Source organism: Homo sapiens, chromosome 7 (genome assembly GCF_000001405.40).
Source record: "Homo sapiens chromosome 7, GRCh38.p14 Primary Assembly".
NCBI lineage: Eukaryota > Metazoa > Chordata > Mammalia > Primates > Hominidae > Homo > Homo sapiens.
In genome coordinates, this window is record NC_000007.14 from 116,677,875 (window position 1) to 116,702,878 (window position 25,004).

Below are 25,004 nucleotides of genomic sequence, written 5' to 3' on the forward strand. Positions count from 1 at the left end.
GTTTTCTGAAACCTGAATCCATCATGGCTTTATGCATCAATTTCATTTCCAAGTTCTCTGATTCAGGATAAACTCCCCCTTTGGAATATTGTCTTTCTCTCTCTCTCTCTCTGTCTCTCTCTCTCTCTGTCTCTGTCTCTGGAAATGACTGAACTTCACCCGTTGTTATTACCCTGCCATTGAAATTCAAAACATGCACTGCCCTCCTGGTTTCCAGTGCCCTTTAAAAGCAATCAGATCAGTGTTAAAATCTATTTTTCCAAAGGAATAAAAGCTCACAGGTTGTGCACTAATTTGTTTCCTTTAATCCTAAAATCTCAGTGAAATGCCCAAGCTAGCAGCCCTCCAGAAGGCCACTGTGTTAGAAAGGGAGATTATGTACTGTATTTCTTCCTACTATTTTAAATGCAAATATAATAATATATCATGAAACAGTGCACATACAGTATACATATTAAGATCAGTGGTCTATTCCTGTTTTGAAATGGTCTCCTACTCCTTAATAGTTGGAATTCTGAGGCAGCACCTAGACTCTCAGGTCCAATTTGAAAATGTATGTTTTTTTTTAAAAAAGAATGACTTGGGGAATAACTGTTTGATAAGACCGTGGAAGATTTCTAATTTTTAATATTTTATTAAAAATGTAAAGAAAGACATTCAAAGCTGAGACCTTTGAAATAATATGGTCTTTGCAAGTCAGAGAAAAAGAGAAGTGGTAAATTTATTAGAGATAGGTTGCCTCCTTTGAGGCCTAATCATGTGGGAAAGGAAAACCCAGCCAAGGTTTGGGTCCATAAGACAATTCAACCTAGCTTTAAAAATAGGTTTTGGCTTTGCTTGGGACCAGCATTGGGACCAGAGTGTATCTAGACCAGCATTTTAGCTATTAAATTTTAAACCTAGGGGTCTTTTAAGGGAAATTTAATCCATGTGTCTTTGATTCACTAAATCTTAAATCATTACTCACAAACTGTATGTCCCTCTAAGCTCTTTGATGTCCAAGAGATCTCTAAAATTGTGTAAGGCCTTTTTGTTCCAGAAAAAAATAGGAAGTTGGTTTTTGCTAAGCGTCAATAAACAGCATCCTCAAAAATCTGATTAGGTCTAAAATCTTGCAACCATGACAGTATGGATGTTTGAATGATGCAATGTGAAAATTTTAAGCACTTTTTAAAGTCCTTGTTTACCAGTAATACTCAGTTGTAATCCTTACTAACCCCAAGGAAATTATTTTGACACATTTCCTCTCTGTTTTGTAATATAAATACAAAGCCCAAATATTCATCATTTTATTCTGGCACATAGTAGGTACTCAGTAAGTATTTTGTAGAGTGTTGAATGACTCTTTCTTCTGCCCAGAAACTTCTAGCTAATGTCAGTTCTTCTATTCAATATTGATATCCATCTGTCATACCTTGGAATAAGATCTATTCTAAGTCAGTGACCTTGTTCGACAAATTTTTAAAATAAGCCATCTAACTAAATATATGACATTTATTGAAATTCATTTTGCACCATGAAGCAACTGCCTTGCAAAGAGTGCTGAAAATAGGAAGGAATTTCTAGACTAATTTGATTAAATATTCAGTTGTTGCCATATGCTTTCTGAAAATTGATTTTCCCCCTTTTACTATTCCTGTCATCCTTCCTCCCACCTTGACATGCTTACTGATTGAAAGCTATGCACAGAAAAAGGGCAGGTCGCTTGTATGTATAAGCAAGAGCAGCAAGTCCAAACAGGCTTAGAAAACGTAATGCTATAATCACGAGTTGTCATAATATAGGAGAGGGGAGAGAGGAATACTCAGCAATAAGAGTGGTGTTGGGTATTGCTCCAAATTACATGGATGACACATCTTTGAACTCTATTGTGTCGGGGGAAAACACCTTCTTGCTGTAGTTAGATTTCCTGTTTGTGAATGTGTATTTTCTGGTAACCAGACTTCCTATATGAATTTGACATAGCTTTAAGTGCATTTCAAATGACATGATTAAAGAATGGCTGCTTTGGAGACAGCAGCTCCTTCTCTCTTAAAGAAATAAACTATCATGCTAAAATATAGGCATTGAGATCTTTCTTGATACCATATTGTGAATTTCTAATGGCTCATCACATTTTTATCCTCAGAAAACCTTTCCTGGTGAAAAGCATGCTGTTTTAGTATCACATTTGGGGTGATGGAATTGGCAATTTCTTATATCTTGAGGGGGCGGGGGGGTAAAAGGAAAATTGTGTTAATAGGGTCTTAAAATAGAGATTCTCTTAGGTTAACCTGAAGATTTACTAAATACATTATCATTACAGCTTGTTTTGACATTTAATTGTAGATGGCACTGTATCAGCACTGACTTATTTATACAGCTTTGTTTAGACATGCCTAATTTTTATTTCATTGGTGGAACCAAACCATCAGTAATAAATCATATATCAGTGTTTTTGTACACATTCGTATTTACATGACTTTTAAAATTCCAATGTAAAGGTCTCACAACTTGAAAAATGAATGAATGCCTGAGTATTTGAACAGTTGGGAAAATGTAGTTCAATTTAAGAAAGATTTTTTATGACAATTCTTATGCCATATATAGAAAATAGATAATAAAGGAGAAGGCCTGGAGGTTTAGATGGGATATTGGATCAATGAGCAAAGGAAGGGGAAAGGTGGGCGGGATATGCTGAAGGGTCATGGGCTTGAGTGCACCCTAAGTCATAAAGAGGGTGTCCCATTAAGAATCAGGCTGCCTGAATTCTAAGTAGGAAAGAGGCAGGTCAAAATGGTGTATAGGCCAGGCACAGTGGCTCACGCTTGTAATCCCAGCACTTTAGGAGGCCAAGGTGGGTGGATGGCTTGAGCTCAGGAGTTTGAGACCAGCCTGGGCAACATAGCAAAACCCCCCTCTTAAAAAAATTACAAAAAGTAGCTGGACATGGTGGCGCACACTTGCAGTCCCAGCTACTCAGGAGGCTGAGGTGGGAGGATCACCTGAGCCTGGGAGGCCAAGGCTGTAGTGAGCCGAGATCATACCACTGCACTCCAGCATGGGTGACAAAGAGAGACCCTGTCTCAGAAAAAGTGGGGGAGGGAGGGTATGGAATAAAGTAAAGCTCATGGGAAAATGGTACCTTTACCATTTTCCCACCTTGGGAAATGGTGGGAAAATTTAGACATTGCTTTACAAAGTCTAAATTTCTGCCAACTTGTGTTACATGTGGTTTGATTCTGGAGAAAGATAGACTATCATCTATCCAGTCCTAAATTGGGCCTCTTAGTCTGTCCTCCCCTCAGTTACCAGGAAGAATAGCAGGAATATGTCACAGAAGCAGAGAAAGCTTTTATTCTGAGTGTCAGAGGCATGTTCTAAGCACTCTGTTATCTACTCCCAGGCACTCTAAATGAAATTCCATTTTCTCTGAGGAAATCAAAATATAAAAAGAAAACTCAGGCAAATTTATAAAGGTTTTACACCATTTTCATGACTGAAATATTCTAGCATATCTAGCTCATTATAATCTATAAATTCCTGTTGGGACCAAAAGTTATGGCCCTAAAACCTGTTATCTGTAATCCTTTTCCACTGGGATATTGTCTCTGGGGATATATATTAGCTTTCCTTGAGGATACTACCTTGAAACCATTTCTTTGGTCCTTGACTATACAAAGTTCATACTAGCATGGATGTAGGAATTGTATTTTTCTATTCTAAATACGAATTTAGACAGTGATATAAAGATTCAAGGAAAGCTTCTATCAAGGCCTGCCTTCACTACTTGTCTTTTGGCTCCTCTGAGGGTCTTAGGTGAGCCACTTTCATCTGATTCTGCCCTCACTTCAGGCAGAATTCATATGGCTCCAGCCAATGGCTACACTGTCCAAAGTGAGACTGTGGTCTCACAACCATCTGGTTAATACAAAGACAGCAAGCCAATATGATCACTTAGGACCTAGGCAAACCTTTGGGCTTAAAATATTACCTTAGCTATTGTTGTTTTTAATGAGTATCAAATAGTATGATATTTGTAATTTGTATTATGTAAAGAAGTAACCAAAGCAGAGATTGTTGACAAAAAAAAAAACTTCCTCCTAACATAAATGAATATGCATTTTGGACTTTTCAAAAATTCCCTTTCTGTCTTGTCAAAATTAAGATATTTCTAAATTTTATTTCGGTCTCACTAACACATACTTGGATTATTGTTCATTGAAATCTGTACGTCAAGGCCCAGTGATTTTAAACATTCTTTTGGTCTTCAAAGAACTTACCAAAAAAAAATTGTTCTTTAAATCACCAGAAAAGTGCAGATAAAATCCCAGACAGTTTCATTAATGACAATGAAAGGTGACAGCCCTTGAATCTATGTCATAAGTTGATTAATTACTTTCCAAACATTATTAAAGATATTAGACGAATAACTTAGACTGGTATCCAGGATCAAGGTTCCTTCATAATCCCTAAATGGGTTTTAATTTTCAGAGTTAGATGATCATTATATGTGATTTATTTCTTTAACATCTTTAGACTGTTGGCTTTATTGAAAAGAGAGGAGAGTATCTGTTTCAATGTGTTTTCTTTTCCCTGAAGTTATTCCTTGCAGAATTCAATAAAACCGGTTTTGAAATAAAAATAATTAAATGCTGGCATTTTCTGTTAATAAGGGCCCATAGACCTGATGAATTATATAAACATTACAAGGAATTTACCACTGAGTTCATAATTATGTAACCATTTAATGCCCAAACCTGCCTACTGACAGTGAAGACGTTCAATGAGAATGGACATTGTGCATTAGGATAAGGATGACCTGGAGTGAACTTTCATTCTTGTTTTGGTTCTTTCCCATTTTGCCCAATTCATAGCACCTGATTCTCTTAACCAGCAAGTCTGTTTGCATGTCTCCAGTCCAATTTTTCGCCATGCCCACTGCAGTGATTCCAAACTCTCACCATTTCTTAAGCTCTTGCATCTTTTGGGCTCTCCTTATTCTCAGTATAAGATCTTTCCTTATAGTTTAGAGAGTAAACACAAGCCCAGTTGTTTCCATGTCACCCATTATTACCTCTTTCTGTCTCAAAGGATGAAACAGTCTTTTCTACCTAAGTCTTGACCCTGTTGTTCCCCACACCTGTGAGCACCTCCTCCCTCTATCCTACCCACCTTACAACTCTTCCCGTGTTTAAAATCTCCCTCACCATTTTTCTTTTTTAAAAAAATTATATTTTAGGCTCAGTGGTACATGCGCAGATTTGTTACATAGGTAAACTCGTGCCACAGGGTTTATTTCATCACCCAGGTATTAAGCCTAGTACCCAATAGTTATCTTTTCTGCTCCTCTCCCTCCTCTGCCCCCTCAAGTAGACCCCAATGTCTGTTGTTCCTTTCTTTGTGTTCATAGGTTCTCATCGTTTAGCTCCCACTTATAAGTGAGAACATGCAGTATTTGGTTTTCTGTTCCTTTGTTAGTTTGCTAAGGATAACAGCCTCCAATTCCATCCATGTTTCTGCAAAAGACAGAATCTCATTCTTTTTTATGTCTGCATAGTATTCCATGGCTTCTCTATTTTTCATTCACCTCTTACTCAACTTACTGATTCTTCTAGAAAGAAATAAAACACACACATCAGGCATCCTGATAGGATCTTGAATACACAATTTCCTTAAGTAGTCACTCCTGTTTTCATTTTAGCCTTTAAATAATGAATTCTTGAAAATAAATGTCTAACTCAGTTTCTCTACTTTCTTCATTCCCATTCATTCTTAAGTCATTCAACTCAAGCAGTCTGTACCACATGCCCAAGAAAGTGTCCTCATTCTAATCACCAGTGCCCTCCTCATGGCCAGATCTGATGGACACTGGTTTTTATCCCTTTTGACCCGTCTGTAGAATTTGACACCATACATTTTATTTCTCCCTTCTCGAAAGTTCTCCTTAGCTTATCTCTCCACATTTTCTTTGCCTACAATTGTTCTTTTTACCCTTTAAAACATAAAGGTTAGATTCTAGTCTTCTGTAAGGCTCCATCTGAATTCCTCCTTTCTACTTACAAAACACATTCACAAGTGATCTCACTTCAGTGACTTCCAATACACCGATGGACGAGTGGTTCACAAACCGCTCTCTCTCACTTCCTCTTTTCTCTAGACCACCACTTTCATGTTGTCAGCTACCTTACAGACTCCACCACTTAGATGACCAGAAGCTACATCAGGGTTATTAACTCAACTAATTACTTTTACCCTCAAAGTCTCCTCTCCCTATTTTCCTTACCTTGGTTTATGATACCCAGATAGACAATTTTTTAGCCATTCTTGGCTTTTCAGTCTCCTCTACAATCAAAATCCATATTGAATAATTCCCACATAATTTTTCTCACTTTAATATGTGTATAATCTAGTCCTTCCTTTCTTTCCATAATGCTAGAAACTTTGTTCAGGAACATTCTTTTGTATATTGATTGATTCTGTTGTCCATTCATTCAATAAATGCTTACTAAGTGCCATGTAATGACACTATGCTAAGGGCTAAAAGTGGAGCTTACACTCTGATGGGAGACACAGATAAATAAGTTACTATATAGTGTGGTAAAGGCTAGATAAGGGGAAGACAGGTTTGATGTTTGAGCACATAGGAGAGTTCCTAATTCCTTACTAGAAGGTAAGAGATGCATCAGAGAAGGCTTCCCAGAACTGTTCCCTAAGATGAGGCTTGAAGAGAGAGGACAACTTATCCATGTGAAGTTGAGGGCAAGAATATCCATAAAGAGGGATCCACATGTGCTGAAACCCAGAGTGGCTGAGCACATGGCTTGCTTCAAGAACTGGAAGAGGGCAGAGTGGCCAGAGCCTAGATTTCTAATGGTGTGATGGCAAGAGGCAAGACTGGAGAGTGGGGCAGAAAAAAATGGTATGTGGTTTGTAAGCTCTGCCAAGGGGTTGACATTTTTTTTCAGCAAAGAAGTGACATAGTCAAATTGTCAGTTTAGAAAGATATCTCTGGTATGCTAGGGGGCAGATGATCAGGGTGAGAATGGAGAGGGAAGACCAGCGAGGAAGCTGTTGTAGTAATCCAGGTATGAAGTGACACTGCCCTGACCATGGGCATGGAAGCCAATAAGGAGATGGACATGTTTAAAATATTTGTAGGTGGGTGTCAAAGATGATGTCCTAGAAATATGGGACATGTTCAGCACTGAGGTAGGATACAGAGAGGGAGACCAGGTTTTGTGGGAGTAGATGGAGATAACAGAAGGATATCCAACTGCTCCTTCTTGGTCTCTTGTCCCATCTGTCTTTGTCTCCTGACCTATTAGCTTTGGTGGCGCCATCACTCAGTCCTCCTCTCTTCATTCTCTACAGTCCCTCTCCTCGGAGATCCCATCCACTCTCATGGCTTTTCATGATGTCTACATGCTGACAACTTCTTAATTTAAATCTCTAGCCCAGACCTTTCTCCTTAACCCCGGGACTCAAACATCCAACTGCATGCCCGGCATCTCCACTTAGATGCCTAAAAAATGTATGTCAGGCTGAGTGCAGTGGCTCATGCCTGTAATCCCAGCACTTTGGGAGGCTGAGGCGGGTGGATAGTGAGGCGGGTGGTGGTCAGGAGTTCAAGACCAGCCTGGCCAACATGGTGAAACCCCGTCTCTACTAAAAATACAAAATTTAGCCAGGTGTGGTGATGTGTGCCTGTAATCCCAACTACTCAGGAGGCTGAGGCAGGAGAATCGCTTGAACTTGGGAGGCGGAGGTTGCAGTTAGCCAACACCACATCACTGCACTCCAGCCTGGGCAACAGAGCAAGACTCCATGTCAAAAAAATAAAAATAAAAAAACCTCCATTGTGGGCAAAACTACATTCCTGGTCTCCTCATATCCTACAAACATGCTTCACCAACCAGAGTCTGCATGTCGGTAACTGGCAAAGCCATTCTCTCTGTTAAAAAAGTCAAAATCCTTGGCATATTCTCCTTTTTTTCTCACATGCCTCAGATCTGACTCCATCAGTAAATCCGGATGGAGTTCGATCTGAGGCATGTGACAAAATAGCTCTGTCTTCAAAATAGAACCAGAATTCGGCCACATCTCCCCACTCTCCCCTTCCTTCCTGGCCCAGGCCACCAGGGTCCCCCTCCTGGAACACCACTGGAGCCTCCCAGCTGGCCTCACCACTCCACCTTTGCCCTGAACTGCCCCCCAGCCACTAGCAGTCTTCTCTCCCATATGATCGAGGTGAATACATTCCAACATAATCCCCCCTTGTTCAACACCCTGCAATGACTCCCCATTTCACTCCAATAAAAACCTGAATCTCCCAGGGGCCTACAAGGCCTTACATGCTCTGCTTCTTTGTCCTTTTGATCTCAGCTCCCGGTCAACAAAGTCCAGGCTTACTGGCCCCCTTGCTGTGCTTCAGACACACCAGGCACATTTAGTTCTTCCTTCTTGCCTCTGCCCAGAAATCTCTTTTCCCATCTCAGACATCTGGGTCCACAAAAGCCACCTTCCCAATTTCCGAGCTACAAACCTATCCCCATACCTCTCCTCCAGGCAGTTCTGATGCCCCAGCCCTACTTTTTGTTTTTCCCTGTAACACACATCAACTTCTGAAACACTACATCATCAGCTTGTTATGGGTATTAATTGTTGTCCCCAGCTAAAAAGTAAGTTCCACAAGAGCAGGGGTGTTGGGTTTTGTTTACTGATGTATCCCAAGCATCTGATGCATAGTAGGACCCCAGTAAATACTTGTCAAATTTGGTCTTAAATAGCTGTTGCATAGACAAAAGTGATATTGGAGAGATGGATTTCGGGATTCTCTGGAGATCCTTCAACAAAACATATCAGACTTTCTTTAATGTGGCCACAGCCTAATCTTATACCTTTTTCCACTGTCAACCCAGCCCACCTGGCCTCTATGCCAATTGCAGCTTCCTGGACAACCCTGCATCTTCTCCCCAGGTGCCCGTGTGTGAGTCCACTCCACCCAAAGTGTCTGTCCCCTACCTCAGCTGCACCTGAGCAGCTCCAACTTATCCTGCAAGACACAGCTCAAGTAGTATCCCCTCTGAAATACTCCTTGGCCCCGCTTTCTGTCTGCATAGTTAGCTCTTCTCCCCCGTGCTGCTCCACTGACATGCGCACACCTTTACAGCACAGCCTGGGCGTGTTGCAGGTGGAAGGTGGAGATTCCCAGTCAAGGGGCAACACCTGTATGGTTGGAAAAGTTGTTTGTTTTAATTTCTTGCCCTCTCTTCTCTCTTCTATTTCTTTCCTCTCCCATAAATACACATACCGCCTATATACACACAACCTGCCCTGAATTGTTTTCCTTGAATTGATGAGTTACGTAAATGCAATCCTAAGCACAGTTGTTTTCAGGTTGTCCTAACCTTTTGCTTTATTGATTTTTCAAGGATCCAGAGTGTTTACTGAGTTTCAGAAATTGGATTCTGTACTTATTTTTCTGTACTATCCTAGTTTTATGAGAATCTATTTGCTCAGCATTCTCTATTCTTTTAAAAGTGTTTAAGATTTTTGTAAACAGTTTTGTTTGGTTCTTTATTTTCTGGTGACATATTGATCTCAACATAATGCTATTCATATACTTTTAATTCTTCTTCCAACACTGTTAGGATTGCATTATGTTCACCCAAGGAATCCACATCTGTACAAAATGTGGCCAGGTTTGGCTATTCCTTCACATTCACAGTATTCTCATGATTTCTAACAATTCTTGTCTACTTTGCCTAAATAAGAAAATGTCATATACTGACAATTTTGATCGTGAAAAAGAGACCTTAGTTCATACCAGTGTCAGAGTCTACTTGCAAACATTGATTTCCAAGAAAATTTCTCAGGTGTGAGCAAATAAGCAAAATAAATTCAGACCTAAGAGAAAATAGCACTACAAGGAACGCCCAGCTCATTCAAACGCTCTGCATTTTGAGACTAGAGGGGGCTTGGCCTTTGGCACCCTCACACCTCTCCCCTTTGTCTCTCTGTCCCTGGGTGCTGATTTCTCTTTCTTTGTGTGACAGCCACTGTGAAAAGAATGGGGTTCACTCACCACCTGCATTCCTCCACAGCCATTTGATATCTGCTTTCGATAACAGCAGAGGAAACTGATCAGTCATATAAATCCAATCCTGAGCATAGTTCCTCGTTTGGAATTGTACCATGCTTTATGCCGAGGACATTTTCAAACACGGAGGGAGGGGATGTCTGATTCATTCGTGAGTAATGTACCAGCTTCCTCTCCAACTTGTCTCCCTTCAGTGGTTCACATTCTGACTATTCAGTCGGTTTATCCTTTCCAAACCCAGTATTTGAATGCAACTGGCAAAGGTTGATTGCCTCTTTTTTTTTTTAATATATAGACTTGGAAAGATGTTTCTCAAATGTGATTTGCGGATTTATGTTATTCAGTCTTCCTGGATTAATTGAACAAAAACTGGTAACACTGCTACACAGTCTGAATCACAAAATTATGTCCATCCATTTGGCTGAAAAATACGAAAACAAATACTTGTATAAGTTTTCATGCATTTTAGCACTTTCTTTACATTGGGGAAGTTCAACCTTCACACTTTCAAGGGCAATGAAACATTTTTGTCTGACCTACAATTTATTAATGGGACAAAAGCCCATCTGTCAATCAGGGCTCTGAGAGTTCAATGTATTTTCTGAACAATATTTTTTACATTATGTACAATGGTAAAAACAAATGTCCATTTATTCTTCTTTCCAAGAAGTTGAGTACTTTCAACCATTCTTAAAAGGACAAAGATGTTTGCTGACAGAATATGAATTTATAAAGGATAATCTTGAGGATATAATGGCATTCTATTCTTTTTATCTTTACTCTTGCCATATCAGAGTTGGATAATAGTCTCAATCATATGTTACAACTAGAAAATGCACAATTGGCTTTTTCTTATGCTAACAGGCAGCCATTTTCAACTTTTTAAATGATTATAGGACTAAGAGGGGATGCAAAAACAGATAAGAATCTGAATAAAAGCACTATCTGTCAAAGAAACAACATTTGTGTAATAATCAAGAAACCGTTTAGAGCACCCCCTGGAAACATTAATTATAACACATGCAAATCATTCCTGTACAAAGCTTAACTTGTTTATCTCCTATAGCCACCTGTATTTGAATTTTTTAATAAGCTCATTTATTATAAATAAAGCATGTAAATCAATCTGGGAATACCTTTTCTGTTTCAGAAATTTCATGTAAATGACAGGCTGCCACATACAGTACAACTATAGAGGGGAAAAAGTTTCTTTACTCCCTTTCATATAGTTATACCTTCATATGACACTTAAAACCACCTGCCAGGAACTTTTAAAACATGTTTTAGATGCACAGAAGCAAACCCAAATGAAAAAATGCTATGCAGTTTTGCAATACATATATACCACAGAAAGCTTTAAAAACATTCTACCCCAACAGATAAATAGATTTGGCCCAAATCTTTTTAATGTGAGTTTTGTGGGTAAAAAAGATTATTGTTCCCTTATTTTTCCCCATTTGCTGACGACTAGGATTGTCATATAAAATACATTCCTGGGACATGCTTATACTAAACAAATTATCCACTGTTTATCTGAAATTCAAATTTAACTCAGCATCCTATATCTTTACTTGCTAAATCTCAGTTGGGATATGGGCTTACTCTTTTTTTTTTTTTTTTTTTTTTTTTTTGAGACAGAGTCTGGCTCTGTCATCCAGGCTGGAGTGCAATGGTGTGATCACGGTTCACTGCAGCCTCAACCTCCCTAGCTCAAGTGATTCTCCCACCTCAGCTTCCACAGTAGCTGGGACTATAGGCACATGCCACCATGCCTGGCTAATTTTTTTATTTTTTGTAGAGATGGGGTTTGCCCAGGCTGGTCTCAAACTCCTGAACTCAAGCAATCGTCTGGCCTCAGCCTCCTGAAGTGCTGGGATTGCTGGCGTGAGTCACAGTGCCTGGCCTGAGCTAACTCTTTTTTAAAGAGTTAAAATACTGGTTCCTATTTGTTTTTACTTCTCTAGTATGGGAGGCTGTTACTGTGGCTTCTGTCTTGGGGGGCAATTTTCGAAGGGCTTCAAGAACTTGAACCGAGGTTAGAGGAAAACCACAAGATGGCTAAAGGGTGGGAAAAGAAGAAATAACACTATTTAAACTTTAGATGAGAGGACTAAAGTGATGAAACAGTCACCAGGTATTTGGAGTGGTCTCACCCAAGGGACTGTGCCAACTTCCTCATTTTTTATGAGGGCAGGCAAAAACTGGCCAAAACACAAGTTAGGATAATAAGCATAGTAGCTATTATTAAATGCTAGGGTGTGCTGCATAACTGAAGGACAGTGTTTCTCACAGTTTATCTCCAACTCTCATGGCCAACCCATGAGATGTATATCATTATCCCCACGTTTTGAATATAAGAAACTGACACTCAAATCAGAAGGCATGTCAGTGAAAAAGGCCATATTCACATCCCATCTAAGTCTGTCTGACACTAAAGCCCACACTCTCTCCACTACACTCCACCTTGTCTCCAGAATGTTTTGGGCTGTTTAAATGTGATTATACCAAAGAGCAGTTGAATGCACTGAAAAATTCTGAAGATTCCTCCTGTCCCTTCGATTCACTGTTGGAAACCATTGTCAAGGTAGTGTCTGGCTACGATAGAAGGGATTTTTGACATGGCCTATTGTTTTATCTTTTTAAAGTAAATGTAGGTGCTTTTGATGATCATAACACTAACTGTTAAGTCTTTAGGCATAAGAATCAAGCATTCAACTAAGCATGTTTACAAATTTGCTTTCAGCCCAGTGGATCTATCCACTTTTCCATTTAGGTTGCACATTTAGATTTCGGAGTTTATCCTGTTATCTTCAAATCCACGGACTGTACACTCTTTGAGGGAAGAAACTCTTAGTATCTAGTCAAGTACGTGGCATGCAATGGGTGCTCCCAAATACTTGATTAATATCATATGATATAATGTAATATGATTCTTCATAAACAGTGAGTGTTTATAAATACAGTATTTTAAATGTCATTAGGAATCTTCTATTGGAATCTTAACTTTATTTTAATAGACCTACTTTTAAAGTTAATAAACATAATATAAATGTGGACAGGGCTAAGATTTTTCCCTAAGATTTCACTCTGGCAAGTCTTCCTGGAGATTTAGCCATGGCTATTTTTATGACTGTAATTTCCTTAATATGGGGCCTCAGCCATATTCCATCATCATAAATCCCTTTCTTGCACTTAAAAGCAATGTTGAAATATTTTCCAGTTTCTATATCTTAACTCTTTACTTAGATCCATTATTTCCATTTTGAGATTATCTTATGTAAATATTGTAGAAGATTTTAGAATTATATAATAAGAAAATACTAGTATACCACCTCAGAAATCTTAACTAATAGATATGTTCTCAAATGCAAAGTGAAATATTTAAAGTAATTATTCAAGTAAATAAAGAGACCATCTTTGTCCCAATTACTTGAATATTTTACGTAAAGTTGGTTTTATGCACTTGACTTTGTGTTTAAACTCAAGTTTGTAGTATTGTCTACTGGACATTGTTAGCTCAGGACCTTTTCAGGAGCAAGGAATGAAAGAATCATTTTTAAACTTATTTAAAAAAAGAAATAAGGAAGAAAAGAAGAAATTTTACTGGCTCGCCTTAGCTTAAGACATGGCTGGATACAGATGCTCAGACAATCACATCAGGAGCCTGCCTCCCTCCGTGTCTGGGCTCTCTGGCCTCTTGGGTCAGTTTCATGCTCAGGCTGGCTTTCTCCACATAGTGGCAAAGATGGGCATCAGACATCCCAAGTTAACATCATCTTTAGTGCTCATGCTGTCAGAATGAAAGAGGCCCTCTCCCAGCATCCATATTAAATCTCCAAAGAGATTCTGTTTGGCCTTGCTTTGGCCACATACTCAACCCTGACCAAGCTCCGTGTCAAGAGAACAGAGTTCGTTGAAAGGCCAGCCTGGTTTGCACACTCATTCTGTGTTGAAAGATGTAGACCATGTGATTGACAGTCCCAGGAGATAGGAGAGGGAGAATTTTCAAAAGAGTTGCCGGTATAAGAGACAGTGGATTCTGGGAAGGTAAAAAGAGGTATTTATTAAAATACTGTGCCTTTGGAATAAAAATCTTTTCCAGGAAATGCAAATAATTTAAAACAATTCAAATAAGGATCATACATTTTAAAACAATTAGAAATACACTCAGAAGAACTGAATTGCTCATTTAGTAGATTTCAGATAATATTTTCTCCTCTTTGAACCTCAGTTTTGTCATCTGGAAACACAGGATAATGCTTACCTTATAAGGTAATCATGATTAGAAGAGATGATGGAGCTGACCATATCTATTTACTATAAAGTGCTATCTACATAGTTATAAATTATGACAGCTAAGAAAATTAATCCCTAAAGAAAGCAAAATTACCTATGTCACGGTTTAGAAAGTCTCTCTCTTAAGAAGAAACTTATTCTATTGCCTCTGTTGGGTTTTTTCCTGAGGAATCGGTGTTTGAATGCAATATACATTTTTGTAGGCTCTGCAATGTTTTTATGATGAGGACAGTCATAGTGTTGACAATTACTCAATGAATACTTAGAGATTTGAATGTATCGCTAGATTTCTGGGAAATGAAAAGACCAATGTAAGCTAGTTGAATGAGAAAACCAGAGGTGGGCAGATGGTGGACAGATTAAGTCGCTGGTTTTAAAGGTAGGCTGAACTGGTATTTGTAACTATTAATAACAGCCATCTTCTTTAAAGGAAGTACTCCTAAATATCAATAGTTTAGTGGCCAAGGTGCCATTGAGATGATCACTCCCAGGAAATGTTTTGCCAGTGATATTACCTTAACTTTCATCTGAAAAGAAATAAAGAAATGTTTTATGGATGATTCACTTTCACCTGATATGTGCACAACATTTTAAGAGAATGAATTAGTCAGTCTGTTTGAATCATCTTTACGTGTTCCTTTTAGCAGGGAACTCAAAGTTGGTTAAATGGCTAGCTCTATTTCAGAAAGCAAAAATAACAGAAACAGTGAAAAGACAGTCTATATTGAAAGCCTGATCCAGACACATCATGGGGGAATAAATATATCAGGACAAAAATATATGAAAAGTGAAAGTATTTCTGGAGTATTTCACTACCAATATAAATATTAAAATGCTCACACAGCCAGATCTGGCAAGTTACATAGATGAGGAAGTGAAAGCAATAATATGCCAAGTCAATGGCATTGGTGTAAAATGTAATCATAGAGGAACAATCTCAGAGTTGAAAATTATTAGAATTGGAAAACACTTTGAAGTTCTTTAGTTCCACCCAGGAGTATGCCATTAAATATTTAATAACCATCCCTCTGCGGGCTTTAATAACAAGCCCTGATTTGTAGTGTTTGCCAATTTCTATGGTGTCAATACAGCCACCATGGCTGATTTTAGGCTACCAAGATGAGGTCACTGAAACACAAGTTGGGAAGAGATGCACATAGTAGGCTGTCATGAGCCAGCACACAGCTGGTTCAGCATTATAATTTTCAAATAAGAAAGCAGTTGACCTCAGAGGAGTTGGGTGACTTGCCTGGGTCATACAAATAATTAGCTGCACTGCCACAACTAAACCTAGGCCCTCTCCAGTGTTTGACCTCAGAATTGTGAATGCATTATGAGGAAAGCACCATGATTGATTGATTGGTAAGCCCACGTGACTTTCTGTCCTAGTTAAGTTCCCCTTTAAGGGCCTCCATAGACATTTCTACATTGAGTTTAAACTATAGTCTGCCTATCTCCACTACTGGCCTGAGATCTCACTGACATTTGGAAAGCGTTTTATTTATCTTTGTATCTTCAGCACTCTGTACAGTATCTGACACTTAGATGCTTATAAGTGTTTGTTGGGGGCCATGTACGAACAATAGAGAACATGCATTGACCTGCTATGTGCCAGGCAGTGTTCTTAGTGATTTACATGCATTAACTTATTGAATCCTTAGAATAACTCTCACAAGTGAGGTAGGTACTATAATCCTGCCCATATTTTAGATGAGAAAATACAGGCTTAGACTTACTTGCCTAAGGTAACATGGACAGTGATTGGATTTAAACCCTAAAATCTGGCCAGTGCCTGTGCACTTGGCCTCTCAGTTGTCACTCATTTAACTAGCAGTTATCATCATAGTGCCCAGCTCAGCGCCAAATACTTCTAAAAGGTCTCCCTCCTTTCCTTAGGAAGGACACAAAACGTTTCCCAGAAAAGATCTGATCTGACCAACACACACCTTTGTTAATGGGGAAGGGCCTTTATTAATGGGAATGATCAAGGAAATGGGGCGTTTTTGGTGATTACATTTTCTCATTATCTGAGGTTTAAACAGAAACCTCTAGTTTAATTAAAATTTCTGTTGCTGACAATAGGCCCTAGTCCCATTTTTTTCTTTAATTAAAAAAGTTAACCTTTTTTTGATGTATTCACTTGAAAAATGGCATCACCATATGGTAACAGATAATGTAAAGAAGGTGTAGGAGATTAAGGTACTAACTCCAACTGTGTTCTGTGAGGGTTTTTCTTTAAATAGAAAATATATTCTTCTTCCCCACTGATTTTCCATTTCATCAAATGAAGTAACAAAAAGCCTATTTCTACATGTGTACATTTTCTTGGATTCTTGTCCACTGAGATTTAGTACAGTGTGTGACTTATGTGCGAACCTTAAGATATGAATCTTATTTTAAAAACATAATTTAATATAATATCTCTAATTTTTTTGTTTTTGTTTTTATTTTTTTTAGATGGAGTCTCGCTCTGTCATCAGGCTGGAGTGCAGTGGCGCAATCTCAACTCACTGCAACCTCCAATTCCCTGGTTCAAGAGATTCTCCTGCCTCAGCCTCCCAAGTAGCTGGGATTACAGGCATGCGCCACCACACCCAGCTAATTTTTGTACTTTTAGTAGAGACGGGGTTTCACCATATTGGCCAGGATGGTTGTGATCTCCTGACCACGTGATCCACCCACCTCTGCCTCCCAAAGTGCTAGGATTACAGATTATTTTGAAGGCTCCTTCAAAAAGCCTAGAAGAAAAAATGTCATTCACACTTCACACTGCATTAATGGACATCAACTAACATGCAAATTGGTTACAATATTTTTCTCCCTTTTGGCAATAATAATTCGTTTCCTTTCTTTCATTATAATTTCTACAGAAAATACAGCAATAAATTATATATTAAGCTCAATTTTGTTAGATACACTGATACCATATTGATAAGTGCAGTTAACTTTTCACATAATATTTATTTTTCCCATTGTGCTCTAGATGGTTTAGATACATATTTGCAGTTTGGTTTACAGTTTGTATTTGCCCTCTAGTACAACAAATTGTCCCTAATCCTTTTCTTCTATCCCTTGTTATTCCCTCTACCAGCACCAAAAATTTGCTAGTACATTGCAAAACAATGAGAATTACAGATAAAATAGCAAGCATTTATATATACTCTATATTGATCAAAGTGCTTTCAGAGATGAGATCTCTTTTTGATCCTTAAAATGGTCACGTGAGAATATCTGACCCTGGGACTCAGAGGTGGGTGATTGCCTGGAGTCACACAGCTAGAGAGGGAAAGGGCTAGAATCAGAGGGCTGATTGTCTGACTTCTGTTCTAGTGCATGCTCCCACCTCGCTTTGGAAGCTGCTTCGGCATAGTGAAGCACTTAAGAGCATGGATGGGTTCTTGTTAGCCAGACGTGGAATTGAATCTTGGTTCTAACTGTGTGATTTTAGCAAGTTTGCTTATCTAGAAGAGAAGGATAATAATACTTCCTTCTTCACAGGGTGGTGATGAAGAGTAAATCAAAGAGTTTAGCAGAATGCTTCCCATATGGTAAGCACTCAATACATGTTCTTGTTATTTTTATTATTACATGGCTTTGCCTTACTGAGGCTTCATCTTGTCCTCTGGTCCAACTACAGTTCTCTAGCTTGGCTTATCCCTTCATAACCTGTACCCCCAGTGGCACGATCTTGGCTCACTACAACCTCCGCTTCCCAAGTTCAAGCAATTCTCCTGCCTCAGCCTCCCAAGTAGCTAGGATTACAGGCACCTGTCACCACACCCAGCTAATTTTTTTGTAGTAGAGATGGGGGTTCACAGTGTTGGTCAGCCTGGGTTCAAACTCCTGACCTCAAGTGATCTGCCCACCTCAGCCTCCCAAAGTGCTAGGATTACAGGCATGAACCACCGCGCTCAGCCAGGAATTTTCATTCTTTATCCTCCTTTGAGACTCGGCTCTAGCATCATTTCCAGTCGAGTTGGTCTCCCTTCCTCTGCATTCTGATAACTGTTAACCATCAAGTGACTTGAGCTTCCCAGGGAAGGGCATCATGTCTTTGTAGACATCCAATAAATGTTAGTAGAAGAAAGGGGGGTCCTGCCAATAATCATATGTCTTTCCCACAATTTAAACTCCTTTTCACCCTGTTACTACTTTTTGCTTGTCTTCCCTTTGATAAACATTCTACTTCTTCATCACCCATTCCCTCAATTTAACATCTGATACTACTATAGAAACTACTGCCTTGAAGATCAACAAACGGGTTCCATGTGGACCAACGTCCTCCTTGAGACCCTCACTTGGCTTTTGTGACACAGTGCAATATTTGCTCTCTTGATGCCTCACTGACCTTAACCTTCCTTGACTCCTGCATAGATTTCTCAACTGTGGGTATCCCCTAAGATTTAGGCCATTTGCCTTCTCTTCTTTCATCTAGTCCATTCATGAACACACCCATTCCTGGTTTTAACCATCACCTCTGTGCAGATAATGTGCAAAGTTTATTTCTAGTCGGAGTGGAGTCTCTGTTACTCTGCCAATCAAGTTCTAAATTTTTATTCCTTCTAGTGCAGCAGTGGCAAATACCTGACACTCATGTGTCTCACTCAAGACAGATACTGTTTCACCCAAGACTGATCATGCCGCTTTCCCAGTCAAGGCAGGCTTCTCAGAATCCTTCTCATTTCCGCCTCTGTTCTTTGGCACTAATGCTCTGTCTGCCCAGAGTTTTCATTCTTCACTTGTTCCAGGCACCTGCTTCCTGGTGAATAATGTAAAACCTGCTAGTCATCCTTATAGGAGAATATGCACTCATTTCCCAGCAGCACACCCGACTCAACGTGGTTAAAACCAATCTACCATTCCCATATATTCAGCCTAACTTCCCAGTGCAGTCTACCCTAGTTTTATAACTTGTTCTACTTTTTCCAGATAACTGCTAATCATCTTTGTTTGTCTTTGCTTTCTTTTTTGCACTGTGTTTGATATATTAGGGTATCAAATCCTACTTATTCAAATATGTCCCTTATTCATTCCTTCTATCCTTGGTGCTACCATATTTGTTCTGGCTCTTGTTACCTCATTATGGGATATAAAAATAGCCTGTCAACTGGTCTTTCCATTGCCAGGATCTCTCTGTTCTAAGCCACCCTGCCTCCAGATCAATCTTCCTAGAGTAAAACCTTCATTGTATGACGGTCTAGCTCAAAATTCCTTAATGATTATTAATCACCTCTTAAAGTCCCCAATTCTTAGACTATTAGTAGGGTAAAATTATTTTTGATTTGGAGTCAAAAAATTTTGGACGCAAATTTTGGCTACTACACTTAACCATTATGTAACTTCGAATTTCGGCTTAATTTTTATTCATCATTTATTCAGTATCTATTTGTTTAACACCTTCTGCATCTCAGGCTCTGTACTAGGTACTTGGGATACAATGATGAGCCAAGCAGACCTTGTCCTTGCTCTCCTGGACCTCACAACATGGTGAACTTGTCTCTATTGCTCATGATCATAATAATCCTAAGTACAGGCTGTGCTTTTTTCCCTTGATACTTGTAGCTTTTGGTTTGTGCTATGCAGGGTATTGTAATACCATTTGCAGTGCCACAATAATCAGCATATATGTGTTATCACTCAGCCACATTGCAGCTTCACTGAAGGGCAGGGGCTATGTCCCATTTCTCATAGCGCAAGCACAGTGCCCTGCACATACCAGCTGCTCAGTGATTTCTGATGTGGTTTTTGTAGATCCAGGGTTAGTCTTTGGCAGTCATGATGCCTAGTATGTTTTTAGAGGCTCCCTTTGTCCTATCAGAATTATGCTATTTAAAAAAAAGTCATACCTATTTAGTTTATATTCATTCTAAGGCCTCTCCTTTCCAACCTACTACCCTGCCTATAACTATTATAAGGAGAACTCACAATGTTTATAACTTGTGCACCTTAAGTTTTAAATACTGAATAACAGGCCCATTCATGTTTCCTCATAGAAATACTGTCTATATGCATACAATGAAATGTTAAAATAATGTTCTTTTTACTAAATAGCTTTTTGACTTGGTAATGAACAATATGTTGTTTTTCCCTGAGAAGTAGTTCTAGGACTTTAGTTCTGAAGATTATGTTGTATTTTATACATTTTCAGCCTCCTGTTTTTCAGTTCCCAGTGATCTTACATTAAACATTTGTCTGTCTAAAACAATAGGTTAACTATAGCCAAATTATAACCATACCATTCCTCTCCACACAAAATCCTATAAACAGCATGTGATCATATTGCTTCTAGAATTTATGATTGTTTTCTTCCAAAAGGAAGCTAAATTTAGCCTAGTAATTCTACATGCGCTCAAGAAAACAATGCCTGCTGTGATTTCTAGAATAAATGAATGTGAACCACAGTTCCTTTACTTGACTAACAGAGAAAGTTTAAATATCAACCTAGTCATTAACCACAGTTATTAAACCACGTTAAACAACCAGCAAGGGGTTAAGAAAGAAAGTTGCTATGTTTTTTCTTTCATTGCTGAATGAGTCTAACTTAGTTACTGTATCAACCTTAATACAGAACATTGTTTGCATCTCAATGGTTCTCTAAAATTATTCGTTCATGGCTTGAGTTCTAAAATTAAACTATGTGGAGTCATGTCCAACCGCACAATGCATCTTTATGTGAAACTTGCTAGAGTTTTTGTTTTCCTTCTATGTAAAAGTCCAGTTGGGAAGCTTTATTTCTGATAGATTAAATGGTATAGGTCTTTCAGTTTTCTCTTCATTTCTGACAACTGAACTGCTCTCGCCTTGAACCTGTTTTGGCAGATAAACCTCTCATAATGAAGGCCCCCGCTGTGCTTGCACCTGGCATCCTCGTGCTCCTGTTTACCTTGGTGCAGAGGAGCAATGGGGAGTGTAAAGAGGCACTAGCAAAGTCCGAGATGAATGTGAATATGAAGTATCAGCTTCCCAACTTCACCGCGGAAACACCCATCCAGAATGTCATTCTACATGAGCATCACATTTTCCTTGGTGCCACTAACTACATTTATGTTTTAAATGAGGAAGACCTTCAGAAGGTTGCTGAGTACAAGACTGGGCCTGTGCTGGAACACCCAGATTGTTTCCCATGTCAGGACTGCAGCAGCAAAGCCAATTTATCAGGAGGTGTTTGGAAAGATAACATCAACATGGCTCTAGTTGTCGACACCTACTATGATGATCAACTCATTAGCTGTGGCAGCGTCAACAGAGGGACCTGCCAGCGACATGTCTTTCCCCACAATCATACTGCTGACATACAGTCGGAGGTTCACTGCATATTCTCCCCACAGATAGAAGAGCCCAGCCAGTGTCCTGACTGTGTGGTGAGCGCCCTGGGAGCCAAAGTCCTTTCATCTGTAAAGGACCGGTTCATCAACTTCTTTGTAGGCAATACCATAAATTCTTCTTATTTCCCAGATCATCCATTGCATTCGATATCAGTGAGAAGGCTAAAGGAAACGAAAGATGGTTTTATGTTTTTGACGGACCAGTCCTACATTGATGTTTTACCTGAGTTCAGAGATTCTTACCCCATTAAGTATGTCCATGCCTTTGAAAGCAACAATTTTATTTACTTCTTGACGGTCCAAAGGGAAACTCTAGATGCTCAGACTTTTCACACAAGAATAATCAGGTTCTGTTCCATAAACTCTGGATTGCATTCCTACATGGAAATGCCTCTGGAGTGTATTCTCACAGAAAAGAGAAAAAAGAGATCCACAAAGAAGGAAGTGTTTAATATACTTCAGGCTGCGTATGTCAGCAAGCCTGGGGCCCAGCTTGCTAGACAAATAGGAGCCAGCCTGAATGATGACATTCTTTTCGGGGTGTTCGCACAAAGCAAGCCAGATTCTGCCGAACCAATGGATCGATCTGCCATGTGTGCATTCCCTATCAAATATGTCAACGACTTCTTCAACAAGATCGTCAACAAAAACAATGTGAGATGTCTCCAGCATTTTTACGGACCCAATCATGAGCACTGCTTTAATAGGGTAAGTCACATCAGTTCCCCACTTATAAACTGTGAGGTATAAATTAGAAATAAGTATCAGTCTCAAAAAGAATATCCAGGGCTTCTTTTGTGCTTTGTAAATGGTGTTTATCCAAAATAGTTGCAGATTTTTTCCAAGAAAATTGAGGAATTGAATCTTCATTTACACCTAAAATTATATCTTTAAAATGTAAATGGTAACTAAAAGAAAAATGTTTTTACAATTCAGATTTGCATGTTCGTGACATTTCAGATTATATTAAAGTTATTTCCCATATAAGCTTTTTTATATTTACACAGATTTTATCAGATTTACACAGATTTTATCAGATTTACACAGATTTTTATCACAGCAGCAATTCCCATAAAACATAATTATTGACATTTCTATATAATCTCTGCAACATTTACAAGATGTTCAAGCTAATTTGTATGCCTTAAAGAATTGTTCCTTATGAGATTATATTCTCTCACTGATACACAACTGATTAATCTATATTCTTGACATTACTTAAAGGAACTTAACTTTAAAAAACCTCTTCTGAAATGCTGGTAAATAAAACATTTTTAAATGAGCTCGTATACTTCTCTAAATAACCTGTAAGAGTAGAGAGGAAATGTTTGTTCCCAAGTCCTTCCTTTAGAGCTTGACTTTAATCATGGACTTCCTTCTGGAAAAGACTTGTGTCTACCAAGTTCTAGCTTGGCACTTTACCTGGTTGGTATTTGTTATTTATAAGCATAAATATTTTGGTTGATGATTATTTATACTTATATGAAATGGTATTTTCTTAGGAGCTGTTAGAGATATTCTTGGTGCTGTGATTTAAATATAGTAACAGCTACCAGCTATACCTGGAGATTTATCCTGCTAGTCAGTTGATCACCTGGTCTGAGTGTTTATTGTGGCTTTGAGTTTCTTGATCTGGGCCAGATTTGGAATACGGACCTGACTATGACCATCATTGAATGAACAAATAGTATAGCTTTTCTAAAGACAGTTTGACTTTGGCATGGTATGTTTCACTTACTTTAACAGGTTTCAATCTAAGATATAAAGGTTATAATTGCAATCAGGTAGAACATTAAACATGTCCTCAGTAGCATAAAGTATATAATTTGCTGAGGGGTAAAGGCATATGAATTCAGAGACATTTGGTTGACTTTTGCTGAAATGTCTGGGACACTTCTCTAGATGGAAACTATAGTTAACTTTTTATGATGCTAGGAAAATACTTCCAAGAAAGTCAGTTCATCTTTTGGTGAACTAAAAACAAAACTTCCTTCCTCTCTCTTCCAAAGTCTATGAATATACATAACATAAATGCACATACATTCCAACTAAGACTTATTTCCCCCTACATACATTTAATATATGTTGCAAAGAAGCAATAGAATTCCTTATGAAGCTCCCCCTTTTCTTTACTAGAAACTACAAAAGAATGAAAGGAAACAAAATGATTTTCAGAAACCTGGGATTAGGAAATAAAAATATAATATTAATAGCATTACAGAGAAGATATTTTTCTGCATCCAGTAAGTTGATTCTGAGACACAAGTTTTAAAAGAGTCTATTAGGAATTCCTCCAGGGCTCCTAGAGCACATGGATTTGCTATTTAAATCTTTCTTTGTTAAAAATTAAAAAGAAGGGTAGGGCAAGAAAAAAATTAAAAAGAGAATTCATAAAGGTATATTGATATCTCATTTTTTAAATTTTGTACATTTCAATCCTTAGATGTAAAAATACTTATCAATTCTAGAAATTCTCAAAACACATCTGAATTTTATCCTACCCTTTTGACTTTTTTAGTGTTCCAAGGGAGACAAACAGACAGGATTAGCCAATGAAATTCAGGTCAGTTTTATCGCCCAGGAAAAATTCCCAAAATGCACTAGCCACACCTGAAACCATTATCACTCCCATCACAAAAATTCTTGCGGGAAACAAGATGGAACTTGCCAACATAGTCTTCTTACAAAGGAAGCCAACTTTTACACTGGCCAAATTCCATAGACAAATACCTTCAAACCTCCTCTATTTATTTGCCTGTTTATCTTCTCTGGTTACAAAGATCAAAATTCTTCTGAGACTGAGACTACACATATTCTCTCTCTCCATATACCCCATCCAGACCTCAGATTGTTCCAATAATGAGCATATAATCATTTCCTAGCTTAATGCCAAAATGAAGGCACCTAGAGCCATTCATCACACACAAAAAAAACAAAATGATTACAAGATCAAAGCTGTTTAGCAGGACTCTCAAGCAATAAGATGACTCCATTTTGTCTTGGCAGATTTACTTGGCCAGAAATCAAGTGACCCTTTTAATAATTTCTTGGAACTGAGTTTTTACTTTGGCATCAAGTTTGGTGAAAAGACACACATATTGTAGTTTTGTTATTAACATCTCTAATACATTTATAAAGGGACTCTTGTGGACAAGGTTAAGAAAGCTGAGCTGCAGCAGTAACTTTCTACTTATGCTTCTGCCCAGTCCTCAGTGTTGACACATTGCTGAAAGAGGGATTTCCTGGCACTCCAAGAGCTCTCCACCATGTGCAAAAAGTGTTTCTATCACAAGATCAGATAA

General features: G+C 38.5%; 1 protein-coding gene and 1 long non-coding RNA gene across 8 annotated transcripts in view, besides 2 other annotated features; one reads left to right on the forward strand and one right to left on the reverse strand.

Moving 5' to 3' along the window:
* Positions 1-10,153, reverse strand: part of COMETT (cytosolic oncogenic antisense to MET transcript) — a 124,434-nt gene extending 114,281 nt beyond the window's left edge. For both annotated transcript variants that reach the window (NR_165032.1, NR_165033.1), the window contains exon 1: positions 10,067-10,153. This is a non-coding gene — a long non-coding RNA (cytosolic oncogenic antisense to MET transcript). The remainder of the gene's footprint in view (positions 1-10,066) is intronic.
* MET (MET proto-oncogene, receptor tyrosine kinase) overlaps positions 1-25,004 on the forward strand; it is a 126,182-nt gene that overhangs the window by 5,679 nt on the left and 95,499 nt on the right. For 3 of the 6 annotated variants that reach the window (NM_001127500.3, NM_000245.4, NM_001324401.3), the window contains exon 2: positions 21,197-22,410. The exons of 1 other annotated variant lie outside the window; for it this stretch is intronic. In NM_001127500.3, the coding sequence (NP_001120972.1) occupies positions 21,211-22,410 (1,200 nt within the window). In that variant the 5' untranslated portion in view covers positions 21,197-21,210. Of the gene's footprint in view, positions 1-17,875; positions 17,926-21,196; positions 22,411-25,004 lie in introns of all 6 variants that reach the window. 2 more of the 6 variants (XM_011516223.2, XM_047420400.1) reach the window with 1 other exon arrangement.
* Positions 1,233-1,744: a silencer, noted in NCBI's record as "conserved region 3 (CR3) negative regulatory element (NRE) in the greater CFTR locus". NCBI's record gives its function as "modestly represses a gamma-globin promoter coupled to the HS2 beta-globin enhancer in both orientations in transfected K562 cells {active_cell/tissue: K562}" and the evidence as "EXISTENCE:reporter gene assay evidence [ECO:0000049][PMID:18436892]".
* Positions 1,233-1,744: an enhancer blocking element, noted in NCBI's record as "conserved region 3 (CR3) negative regulatory element (NRE) in the greater CFTR locus". NCBI's record gives its function as "modestly blocks activation of a gamma-globin promoter by the HS2 beta-globin enhancer when located between the enhancer and promoter in the reverse orientation in transfected K562 cells {active_cell/tissue: K562}" and the evidence as "EXISTENCE:reporter gene assay evidence [ECO:0000049][PMID:18436892]".